The sequence below is a fragment of the Homo sapiens genome, chromosome 4, assembly GCF_000001405.40.
Source record: "Homo sapiens chromosome 4, GRCh38.p14 Primary Assembly".
In the NCBI taxonomy this organism is placed as follows: domain Eukaryota; kingdom Metazoa; phylum Chordata; class Mammalia; order Primates; family Hominidae; genus Homo; species Homo sapiens.
In genome coordinates, this window is record NC_000004.12 from 183,989,730 (window position 1) to 184,003,039 (window position 13,310).

The window sequence follows — 13,310 nt, forward strand, 5'->3', positions numbered from 1 at the left end:
AACATCCATGGGCTTTTCACACGAAAGCTTTTTAAAAAAACATGACAACGAAATGGTAAATTTTGGTCCTCAAAAGTACATTACATGCCTCATTTCCAAAGTGAGACTTGGCACATCTGAAAGCATGGCTTTACCCCCTCATCACATGGATGGTTTCAGCACTGTTACAGATATTTCTGAGAGTGTTGAATCCCGTATGTAATAGGTAAGAATTTTTAGAACATGTTTAAAGGCAGATGTTCAAGACCCCTTGAACATCTTCTTTCTCTTCGCAGTCACATCCATCTCATAGCTCACCCTGTCACAGAAGAAAAGAGAGCATGTTTCCTTTCTCCACTGTCAGAGGTCTCTTCTTTCTGCATAGCAGTTTGCATCTTCAGAGCAACGTTGAGGATGCTGAGTCAGGTTTAAAGGATGTTTGGTCAGAAAAAACACAAGCATGGTATGTTGCAAATACAGTTCCATCATGTCCTCACACCCATCAATTCTACCCATCCTTAAGGACCTATTCCAAATCTCTGTCCCCTGGAAAGTTCTCCCTAATCACCCCAACAGGAGGTCATTTCTAAATCCTTGAAACTCCCATTATAGAGTTAAGTTTCTATTCATTCATGTGTTTTCTTGCTATAGCTCTTCTAAGGGTGTTTTGAACAGCAATGTGTATATTTCATGATGCTTTATATTTTCACACATGTATATCTTATATTCCCACCTAAATTGTAATCTCATTGAAGGCAGAGATCAAGATTTATGCTTTTTTCTGCTGTCTACATCTCCTAGCAGTTCCCTACACATGGAACCCTTTCAATAAATAGTTGAATAGGAAGAGGGGCAGTTTAAAAAGCAGGATTTTTTTTTTTTTTTTTTTTTTTTTTTTTTTTTTTTTGGTCATAGAGAGTTAGAATGATCTGGTTTTGCTAATTTTAAGAATCTTCACAGGGTATATTCAGGCTAAGGTGGACCTCAGGAGTCATGCATGCCACTCTAGAAGTTGTGATGGTTCTTACCCTGAGACAGTGTCACAGCCAGGAAGCTGCCTTACCCTGCTTGTAAAGAACTGTTGCCGTAAAGGACAAATGAGCATGTGGACATTGATCACGGTTTACTTGAATTATATTGGACAAGCCATCCTTAAGTTATGAGGAGTATGCCGAATTCGGGAAGTTTAGGTGAAAGTCACTTTTTTGACTCCTACAGGACATTTTCCTTAGAAGAAAGAGCCAGAATGGTTACTAATAATTCGGATCATATCAGAAATTATTTAACTCCTGGTGTCACTGATTTTTAATACTAAGAGTACTTATTTAAGTCCTGAGTTTCCTTTCCCTTTCTTAGGTAATGGATTGGCCCAACCTAAGTTTTGAAATAGGTCAACATCCTTTGATATCCTTGTAATTCTCTATCCACACTATTTCCCATCTCCTAGTGCCTTTTTCTCTCCAAAGTCCCTAGTGTAATGCATGTTTGCACTCCCAGCCTGGTGATGCATCCCAAATGCTATGTGTTCTATATATCTGATTAAAGTAATCTTATTAAACTACTTCATACTAGTATAAGGAAGACCTCTGCACTCTTAGCCTTCCCAAAGATATTTTAGTTTTTTAAAAAGGCTTATTTTTAGGTACAAACAAATTTTCCATTGGTAGAAATTCAAACACTGTAAATGAGTAAATTGGATAAATCTAGATGGGCTTGAGGAAGAATTTTTTTTTTTTTTTGACGGAGTCTTTCCTTGTTTCCCAGGCTGGAGTGCAATGGCACGGTCTTGGCTCACTGCAACCTCCGCCTCCTGGGTTCAAGTGATTCTCCCGCCTCAGCCACCCGAGTAGCTGGGATTACAGGCATCTGCCACCACGCCTGGCTAATTTTTTGTGTTTTTCGTAGTGATGGGGTTTCTCCATGTTGGCCAGGCTGGTCTTGAACTCCTGACCTGATCCACCCACCTCGACCTCCCAAAGTGCTGGGATTACAAGCATGAGCCACCGCGCCCGGCCAGGGAAGATATTTTTAATACTAGCTACTATTTATTAAACATGTATTAGGTCTCAGGGACAGGGTAAGCACTCAACATCCATTATCTCATTTAATCCCCTCAGTGAGTCTACAAGGTAAACATCATTATGTATACTTCACAAAAGAAAAAATTGAAACTCAAAAAATTAAATAATTTGCCCCAAATCACACAACCAGTGAGGAGCAGAACTGGGCTCTGAACCTAAAGTTTTGACTACAAAGCCCATGGCTTTTAACACCATCTTGTAATGCTGAATTGAAGAGAGAAAAGTTACTTAATTGTACAGCGACTTAGACGTTTCCTCTGTGTATCTGATCTGATCCCCTATCCTTTCTTTCATGCCTCTGAATTCTGACATAGTCCTTTCATAATGACCTCCATGGCAGTTGGAAGGGGTAGAAGCGTGTTCGGTTTTAGGGGGGTTGGTTGGTAGCAGTCAATCGGTACAATTTTGTTGTAATTTGGGAACTGTCAACCTGTCCATATTTGTAGTTTATTTAATTAGGCCTTCCTGTCCTATTACAATTGTATTTTACAGAAATCAGTCCCACTACAGTTGTCATCCCTAAACTGATGAAGCAGAGAATACAAAGACTGAGAAATAGCTCTGGTGATTCCAACTTAAAAAGAGGGAAAGTGAATGTGTGACCTAGAGTTGTTAGATGATTTATTAAGCTGAAGTTGGGAAATATCATCAGTGGAAACTGGAGCATCTAATGTCTAGTGTTAGGCCAGGTTATGCTGCAGAATGAACATGAAGGAGAAGTACAGGGTGGCTTAAAATAGGAATTTATGTTCTTTCTTATGTGATGCACTTAAGGAAAAGGAAGACGTCATGTTCCTCAGGTGCTCTTGTTGGTCAGGTGCTTTACAGAATTTCAGGACATCTGGGAGATCTTACTAATTGTTATCATCTAGGACTGGTATTTCATCATAACTTTATCCTTGTTGGTAAGTGGCTTTACCTTCATTCTGGTTGAAGGACTGGAGCACAAGTGGCAGCTGGTGTTGGAAAACATCTTGTAAGGTAGCAGGGCCTTGCCTCTTCTTGTTTATGTACGTAGGACCTTTTGATTCTACAAGCATTTGAGGACCTGCCGTGTGAAAGCATTCGGCTAGGTTTTATTCCATGTGCCTAGCACGTACCACCCTGGACCTAGCTGATGGGTTATAGTGTGGAGCCTTAGCAAAGGCGTTAATTACGAAATTAACCTGATTGGTCCCAGGGCTCATATTCCATCCTACCTTTTCTGCTATGCATCTATTGCAAATAGCTAAATGGTCCAACAGAAGTGTTAGTTGTTCCTATCAGAGACGTCAGGAATCACCTCTGGCGGTGGGGAAGGTGGCTCTTGGCCAGGGCGCTCTCACCCACCCCTGCCCACGAGGATGGCCCCTTTCTGCCCGATGCTCTACCCTTTCTGCCTTATCTGTCTCTATTTATTCTGTGATAAGCTTTTACCTGTAGTCAAATCTCAGTAACAAGAGCAATAGCTAATGTGACTAACGAAAGGTTGCGGACTGGGAGGATCATGAGCTTCTTCTGTAGACCAATGAGCCAATTAATTCGTTACTTCACATAGTGGCATTAGACAGACTGGTCAGCACAAAGGCCCGGGTGACGTGGGGGATGTTAACTCATTCTTTTGGGTGCCCTTGGCCACCGTGTTACTCTCGTTTAACTTTATTCCCATTAGAAGTTTCTTAGTAAGTAATAGCTAATGGACACCAGTATTTCAGTATGATTAATGAGTGTCTTCTGTTTACGCTCTCTTGATTAAAATGATTTACTCAAATAATAGCTTAGGAATTGGACCTGCTTTAAGATACCCATTAAGTGTTGAAGTAAAGCATTAGGAAACATTTTTAAAGTTGTTATAGAATCTCTAAATATTCTAAAATTCCTTTTTTATGCTGTTTCCTTCAGTTGACTATTGCCATCGGGCTCAGCCTTCAACTTTTGAAATCAGTGGCATTTGAAACAAACCTACAGTAAACTAGTAAAAGTGCCTTTTCATTGCCAGTTTTCTTCTGAATGTCAAATACAAACATTCGAAAGTCAAGAATAGTCATCTGGTTTCAAAGGAAAGCTGCTTAAAACGCAGGAGCATGTGAGGTAATGGGAGCCGTCTGCTCTGCCCCCACCAGATGGGTGCTGTGGTCTTCAAGAGAGCGCATAGGAAAGAAGTATGTGGGTTTTTTTAGAACAGCTTTTTAAAAAATACTGTAGTAGGCCTTCTGTTAAAAGAGCCAAACAGCATTAATACATAAAATTGGGGTTAATAAATTGAATTAAATTGTAAAACACAAGATTTGTCTGAGGCGCTGCATCCGAGAAGTTGTTCACTTGACTGTAACCCCAGAAAGCGGGTGATTTCCCCAAGCCCAAGGGCATTTAAGATAAAACTTGGCGAAAGAATCGTTTTCTGAAGAGTGTGCGGAGAGGAATAGAGTTGTGTTGTCCCCATGCCCATAGTGCATTTTATAGACATGTTTGACTATTTTTATGAGGAATCACGGTATCTACTACTTGTGGTAATTTTATGGCATCCGTGATTTTAACTTGCGTGTTAATTTTGGCGGTGCAGAGAACAAAAGGGGCACACATTAGTCCTGAGGAACAAAGCTGAGCAAGACTTTGAATTTAGAAAGAGAAAATGATGAAGCCTTTATTGTAAGGGAAGAAAAAATTATTAGCCAGTATATGGAGCCATTTCTTTGAAAATTAAAGCCCAACTTTTTCAGTTCAGATGAGTGTTAAAATAGTGTCCCCAGCGTGATGGAAGCAGAGCTAGACACCCGTGCCATATGATGCTTTTATGCCAGAATTCTGCTGCATTCATATAGGATCACAGGATTTAGGAGGCTGAAGGAATCTTTGAAATCATTTCATCCAAACTCTCATTTTACAGATGAGGAAACGGGCGCAGAGCGGATAATTGTATTTTGTTTTAAGAGACTGGGTACTTATCAAAATATCTCTTGAATGCTTTTTTTATATTGGGAATTTCTCAATTATAAACTAGTACAGTTTCAGAACCACATTCTTAAGTGGGTTGTTTTGGTACAAGAATTTCATTAATGTCAAAGATAACTCTTCAACCCAGAGAATAGATTACATTAACACTTGCAATGAAAAACAGTACCTTAAAAGGAAAACAGGATAATTCATATGGAATGTTGGTGCTTGAAAAAAAAATTATTTAAAGAAAGCTAAGATAGAGGATGGAGGCTGGTACTTTCCAGGCTGTTTACTGTGATGCAGTTTGCCTGGGGAAATTCTGGCTTTCCTTTTCTTACACAGTTGTATGAGGATGGGTACTTTAAGATGAAATGACATAGTTTTATGTTGGCTTTTGTAGCAGGTATCTTTTGGAAAGCTACGGATGTCACCCAGGAAGGAGCAGGTGTAAGCTGTTGTGAAAGTCATATCCCAGGAGCGGTGCTGGTCTCCTGCGTGTGCACAGGCTGAGAAGTTCCTGGAACCTCAATTAATGACTGCAAAAAGTGAAAATGCCACTTATAAAGGACAGGGCTTTATTTTAGTCTTTTTTTTTTTTTTTTTTTTTTTTTTTTTTTTGCACAAATAGAACCGAGATAAGAACAGTTTTGGAACTTGAGTGCTTAAAGGTATTTGATGTAAAATAGGCATTCAGATATTTCTTGAAAGGATGAATTATGTGAGAGAGAGTTTTTTTTAAAATAACTCCAACTAAAGTAATGGGCCAGAAGTTGGAAGGGGAAAATAGATAGAGGGATTTAAATAGTGAAAATGGATGCGCTTGATAAAGCTATTTCCTGAGGTAGGGGTGACTAGCTGTAGACAATCCAAGAGCAGGTTGGCGTCTGCAGGACATCTGCCTGTTGTCCGTTGTGCGAGTGATTTTAGGAATCACCAGCTCTTTCTCCAGAGTTGCACAAGAGTGATTTTCTCATGCAAGCATATCATGTGATTTGTCTGTATGAAAACAGGGGCAGTGCCTCGTCACCGTCAAGAATAAGATCTAAGCCTTCTTGTCAACCAGGATCTGGCCCCTTTTTTCTCTGTATCTCACCACCAGCCTGCCCCAGGGGAGCCTGAACCTGCCGCAGCTCCCCAGTCTCAGCTCCCCGGGCTGCCTGGGCTCAGCATGCTGCACCCCCGTGCTGGCTGGGCTGTTCCGCCTCTCCTGGAGGGGGTCCGTCTTCCATGCCCCTCATCATCCACCCGGCTACTCTTTCTCTTCATGCCAGTCAGCCGACAATGACCTCACATGAAAGCAGTGTCCACATTTTCACTCATGCATTTTAAATGTTAAATACTCTTAAAACAGAAGTTTACTTACAATTGTAATATTTTCATGTCTTTTCACATTTTAAGCTCGCTTAAAAATCTATGGAATGCTTCCTCTGTCCAAGGCACTGAGTTTGGTTTTATCTGAAATAGCCTAGATTTGACAAAAGTCCTCTGAGGACTGTACTTAAATGGATGTTTGTAAGAAAATAAAGCTGAACTAAAATCTATCTACTCCTTTTTTAGAACAATAGGACAGAATTATAGCAGTTTAGAAAGAATTTTTTAGCTGACAAAGTGCCAATGTGCTTTAAGATGAGTTGTCGTTATGAATGTGTTCTGAACTAATTCTGACGATGGAAAAATCCATCCTATAAATTATAGACAAGTAAATTATAATCCACATTTCATGCAAAATATGGTAGTTTCTGTAGATAATGTAGATTATCGTGACCAACAATATTTTAGCAGTACCTACATTCTCCTTTTTTCTTCTTTGAATAAATAAATGTGGTCCGGTAGTTGGAAGAATTTTCTAGTAGCATATCTTAAAAATGACTAGTTGGCTCGTTAAGCAGGTTTATATAAGATCCACAGAAGATTATGGTAAACTTGAATAATGTTTATGTTGTGTTGAGAGATACCTGTGATTCCTTTAATACAGATCTTAAATGCATGTTCTAAACTTCACTTAATATATAATTATTCTTTTAAAAAATTTACTCATTTTTATTAATTTTTAATTTCTTATTGCTATATAATAGTTGTGTTATAAAGTTATTTTTCTATAGTAACTGCTGTGTTTGGAGGCCTATTTCTCATGCAGTTAATTGGGGGAGTCTTAGAAATTGCATGGGTAAACTTATTTGTTCTCTTTTTGTTTGCTATTATTTAGCAAAAATATTAATAAAATTACAGTCCTTTAAGATGACTAAGAAATTCCTTAGATTATCATGTTAAAAATGGATATTCATTCATTCAACAAATATTTGTTGGGTAAGCACTGCATCATTCTAGGTGCTGGGAATGTGGCATTCACGTTGCCTTCTGTCATGGAGCTTACATTCAAGTGGGTGAGACAGACAGTAAACCAGTGAACCAAACGCACATGCACACATGCAGGGAGAGAAGACAGTAAACTCGGCTGTGATGGAATGGCAGTAGACCAGACAGTCAGGTTAGGGCTTTCTGATGAGGTGCCATTTGAATTGAGACCTAAAGCATGAAAAGCCAGTCTTGAAAGGTCGACCCAAGGAGCATCCCAGGCCAAGGGCACAAAAAATACAAAGGCCCTGAGTTGAGGAAATGCCTGACATGTTCAAAGAACAGAGGAGGTCGTGAGTGGCAAGTAAGGATGGAGGTGGGAGTGGTCCTAGCATAGGGTGGACAGGCTCAGGCCACGTGGGCCCGTGTAGGCCTACCAAGGAGTTCAGCTTCTCTTCTAAGTGCAGTAGGCAGTCCCTGGAGGATTTTATGCAGGGAAGTGGTGTGTTTTTTGTTTTCCTAAGAGGACCTTGCCTGCTCTGTGGAGAGGGGAGTGTTGGAGGCAGGAGGGAAGGCTGAACATCATCAAGTTCTTATGAAGGACCAGGTGAGAGATGATGGCAGTTTAAGGGAGCTCCAGGGATAGAATCCAGGGGACAGGCCAGGAAGCATTTGGGTGTAGACAGGATTGCTGATGGGATTGGGGATGGGAAAGGAGTTGAAAGTAATATATCTTAGTGCAGCACAAAAATGAGATGAGGTGGAGACAGTTACTTAGAACATCCAAATTCCATTTTGTTCTACATTCTGAGTTAAAAGTTATTGCCCATATTCATTATTATAGTGAAACTGAGCTTTTCCAAAGTAAATGCCATTCAGACACACTTAAAGCATGCTGCCTCTTGGAGTTGGCTGCAATGAATGAAAAGAAATTAACTGAGAATATGGCAGTGAAACCAAACAAATTGTTTCAGCTAAACCCATAAGGACAAGCATGACCTAAACCAAAGCAGTTAATTAATTTTGCTAATAGTCATTTCTTTTTTACAGAGAGTTCGAGTTTCCTCTTATGACCTATACAAAAATCTGGAAATAGTCCGGCCTGCATTTTGGGGATCATATTTAGTATTTTTGTATCTTTCATCTTCTGAGATGTTCTTAGTTATATAATAGGCACACGTTGGAAGGTATTAACTTCTCAAGTGATACCCAAGTCCAGAGGTTCTGGAATCTGCATTGATCCTGTCCCTCTTTGCCAGCTGATCCCATCTTCCTTTTCATCTGACTTTAAAAATCATCCCAGGTGACTTTCAGGTCCATATGGCTAACTTAGCACCTCTGTAAGAAAGCCGGCCTCAGTGCCCCTGTCCTATCCAGTGGAGGTGGAGTGAGAGAGAAGGAACTACAGGCCGGTGTCTCAGACTGTCTGTGCCTGAGCTGTAGGGCCTGCGGTACGGAGGGCAGAGTCAAACAGGTGAACTTCCCAACTCCCACCTCTGCTGCAGCTTGCATCAGCACTCAGCCAATCTTCACACATTTCTTATGTGTTTATTGATTTAGAGACAGGGTCTCGCTCTGTTGCCCAGGCTGGAGTGCAGTGGCGCAATCTCAGCTCACCGTAGCCTTGACCTCCCAGGCTCAAGCGATCTTCCCAGCTCAGCCTCCCAAGCAGCTGAGACCACAGGCGCGTGCCAGCATGCCTGGCTAATTTTTGTATTTTTTGTAGAGATGGGGTCTCATCATGTTGCCCAGGCTGGTCTCAAACTCCTGGGCTAAAACAATCTGCCTGCCTTGACCTCTAGAACTGTTGGGATTATAGGTGTGAGCCACCATGCCCAACCCACATTAGGTTTTAGAGTAAGACTTCATTTGGGCTGGGCATGGTGGCTCACACCTGTAATTCCAGCGCTTTAAGAGGTGGCCGGACTGTAGTCCTAGCTATTTGGAAGCCTGAGGTAGGAGGATCTCTTGAGTTCAAGGTTGCAGTGAGCTATGATTGTGCCATTTCACTCTAGCCTGAGCCACAGAGCCAGACCCTGTCTCAAAAAAGCAAACAAACAAAAAAACAAAAACAAATGAACAAACAAAAAAACCCAGCTTTTTTTGTAGGAAAAAAAAGGATATGACAAATCTTTTCTTTAAGATTTAAATACATTGTTCTAGGCCGTTGGAAACTTACCCACTGAGGTGGTCCCAGCCCACGTCATTCTATCATTCTGTCATTTTTGAGTTACCAATACGAACTGAGCTTCACCAGCCAATGAATGAAACTCACATCCCCCAAAATGGCCCCAAGTTCACACTCGGTCTCGCCTGCTACTGCCCCACAAAATATTACAAGAATTTTTCTGAGGGTGTCTCTTTATGATGCCTATGACCCATAGGCCCCAGACATTTGTGGCTTCTAAGCTAGGTCAGTTCCTGGCTTCTGCTGATTTTTCTCCCTTCCTCCTTTTCTGGATGTGGGTACTCCTGTCTCCCTCTGGCCACTGGGACAACGTCTTATCCTCCTCATATCCATCTTGCAGAGAGTGGAGCTACAGTAGAGCTGATGGGAGCCCCATGTGGTCCAGGGAAAGGGGGGCGTTGAACTGAGCTGGGTTTGGGAAGGGGGTGAGGCCTGAGCCTTGGGCACTGGAGTCCTGCTGCTTCCTCCGAGGCACCTGTTGGACTCTCCCCGTACGTGCTGATCTTTGTCCCAGGCCCTGCTGCCTGATTTCATCGAGCAAACCATTTCTCTCCTAGCCCATCAAAGCAGCAAGTTTTTCCCCATAGGGACTCTGCACTCCTCCTGCAAACTAGGAACTGTGGCTGGGCATGGCTTTAAGTGCCTGACAGTGAGGAGGTTGGTCCACCTCAGAGCAGCCAGACACCTTGTCGGGGAGGGTGTTGCTTAATGCTACAGGCCGACCTGAGTCTCGGTTTTGGTCAACCATGGTAGCTTATTACAAGCATGCTTCAGAAACAAAAAAGGCTAGATTATGGAAGTACATTTAGGAAATCAGATTAGAAACTTAACAGACCCTGTGAGCCCTTCTATGTTCTACTGTGTTGATAGTTTGCATCCTCCTCGTGTAGGACATCTTTTCAAATGCAACCTTGGAGAACCCCAGGTATAAAACAGGTGGCACCCAGGTGTCAGGAGCGAACTTTCCTGCCCTCCCAGCCTCTGCTTCTACTGGGGGCACCTCCATCCCAGAAATATTCCAAGAAATTCTAGGGATCCTTGGAGCATCACTTGAAAATCACTGACTGCACTGTGGTATAAAGACTTGAGAAATGAAGACAGATATTTGCATTGTAGGTTGACATCTCAAGAGTCACCGTCCATCACCCCTCCGATGCAGGGTCTTCAGCCTCTCCTGCCTCCACTGGCCCTTTTAGTGTGCAGGAGGCCACATTCTCTGAGGGAATTGTAATCTGCCTTCTCCCACTCCTCCCAGCCATCATCCCCACGGCCACCACAGTCATCTTTCTGAAATCCACACCTGCCTTCAGCCTTCCATGGCTCACCACCCCTCATAGAATGCAGAGCTTGGACACTCAGCTCTTTATTCATGGTCGTCCCTACCTACCTGTCCCCCTTCGCTTCTGTGCCCCAGAAAACATCTGCTTATAGGTCCCAGCCCCGCAGGGACACACCTACTCTTGAACACTGGGTTCAGATTACACTTCCTTGGTGGAACCTTGGAAATTCCTGCTTCTGAGCCCCACCCTCGCCTCCCAGAGGTGTTATCCTTCCTCGACTCTCAGCACCCAGGTGTTGTTCTGTTCTCTTGTGTGCCTGCCACGCAGCATTGCGAACTTCGTTCGATCTACTTGTCTGTCTTCTCCACTTAAATAGAAACTGAGGGCAGAGATGTTTGGGGAGAGGCGCGCACTCTGTCTCTGCAGCTCCCGTTCCCCCAGCAGACACGTAAACGCGTTCAATGTGTGAATGAATGAATCATCAAGTTACACAAATGCAATTTGTCGGGATATGAATGGCAGTTATTAAATAAATCAGCTCCAAGTTAATAAAAACGGAAATAAAAGCCTGTTGTTGCAAGACTTTCAGTACTAGGACTATTTAAATGAGATCTCGGATGTTAAAGGGAAGTTTTATTTGTTGAGGCAGTAGGAGCTTCCACTGCGTGTGGAAGTCTTTCCACCTGAGTGGAATTGGCTGTGGCTTCTGTGTTCAGAGTGGAATTGGCAAGCAGCTGCTATGTTCGGAGCTGACTGTGTTCGTCAGACCAGGGCCAGATGGACGCGTGAAGGCGTGTGTCTGACAGATGACCGGGTCTTTTAATGAACCACTCACTTGAAAATTGTCTTTCTGCAGGTGATGTATCACCCATCAGTATGTCTCCCATCAGTCAGTCTCAGTTTATTCCACTCGGGGAGATCCTCTGCTTGGCCATCTCAGCAATGAACTCGGCAAGAAAGCCTGTCACCCAAGAAGCACTGATGGAGCACCTGACCACGTGCTTCCCAGGTAACGAGGCGGGAACGTAGCACTTTCCAGGTGGCGGTGTGCTGTGGTCGCTCTAGGACTCACGTGGACTGTTCTGCCCATGTTTAAAGAGAATAGGAAAACATTCTTCCCCAAAACTGACCCGAAGCTTTCCTTACTTCTGTAATTAAAAATTCAGGCACCTGCATGACATCAAAAAATAACTTAACTGCTTCAGCTGTAATACTTTTTAAATTGGCACCGAGAGGAAGAAATTAATTCAGAATCCATGAAGAATCTGGCAAGAATGACCAGGACTCCAGTCAGTCTTTGCAAACTAATCTTTAAATACATGAACGTGAGGGTTCAACGGCTGAAAACTTTAGTCCTAGGGAGTTAAACTACAGAAAGGGTCATGTCAAAAATTAACATATCTTACATATTTGTATCATGGCTTGATGAGTTTTAAGAAAATAATATTGATAAATTAGGATTTCATTTTAAAAAATAAAATACTTACTTTTCTCTTAAATGTTATAAAAAGGAGGCAACAGCCCAGCTGCTGTGTGAGAGGCATTTGACGCTTTCAGTGCTGGAAGGCATTAGGAAGGGTGACAAGCTGCAGAATGCAGGACCCTCTTTCAAGAGAGCCAGTGTATTGTCACCCCACCCCCAAATGGAGATCCTGCCAGAGTTGCCAATCTCATGTTTCAAGACAATCTGGAAATTTGGTCTTATGTGAAATCTCTGCATTTCCTTAAATATTGACAATTGTGTGTGTGTATATGTTTTAATGTCTGTGTGCCAGCAACATGCAAGTCAAATGAAATACATTATCGGGCTACCAGTTTGCCAACTTGGTGTGGACTCAGCCTGTTTCTAGGTTGAAATAGAGATTATATTAAAAGGGAACGTTTGCTATATTTCTCATTCAACTTAGAAGAGATCTGAGTAAATATAAGCTGTTAATTGTATCAGTTAGCTTTTGCTACAAAAATGCTGGGTAACAAACAACTACAGAACATCAAAGGCCTACGGCAACAAGAGTTGATTTCATTCATGCCTCTGTGGGTTCCCCAGGAGTCAGCTGAGCCAGGTGGGGCCCAGCAGGGTAGTTCTGCTCCATCTGTACCCATCCGATTTAGAAAACGGGGCAAATGGAGATCTCCTTCACTTGCGGGATGGCAGAGGCACCAGAGCACAAGCCCATGGCACGAAGGCTCTTCAAGCTTTGTTCATGCCAGCCCATTAACACTGCAGTGACCAACACAAACCTGCTAAACTCAAAGTCAAGGTGTGGGGAAGTGCACCCCACACATGGGAAGAGAACGGGAGGACGAATTCTAAGCTAAGGAGAGATCTTATCTACTGTATTGGTCTCCCTGCTTCTCCTTTTGTCCCCGAGGAACGTTTTCTCCTTCTCCTTGTGATATTTCTTCCTTTTTCAATATTCTAATTAATGTGTTTTGATAATATGTATATGGTTCAAAATCTCTAACATGAACCCACCCTTGCAACATACAAATTATTTTAAGATTTCTAGCATTTTATTATCTCTGAATATTCTTCACTGTCTGATTGCCTGTCTCTTTTTGTTAAGTCCT

At 42.3% G+C, this 13,310-nt stretch overlaps 1 protein-coding gene across 8 annotated transcripts in view; it reads left to right on the forward strand.

Annotated features, from left to right (window-relative positions):
* STOX2 (storkhead box 2) overlaps positions 1–13,310 on the forward strand; it is a 225,509-nt gene that overhangs the window by 191,708 nt on the left and 20,491 nt on the right. For 6 of the 8 annotated variants that reach the window (NR_132761.1, XM_017008466.2, NM_020225.3 and 3 more), the window contains one exon: positions 11,596–11,748. Coding sequence is in view for 7 of the 8 variants with exons in the window: in NM_020225.3 (NP_064610.1) it covers positions 11,596–11,748 (153 nt within the window). In the remaining variant the exon portion in view is untranslated. Of the gene's footprint in view, positions 1–275; positions 11,749–13,310 lie in introns of all 8 variants that reach the window. The other 2 variants (XM_011532131.2, XM_047415989.1) reach the window with 2 other exon arrangements.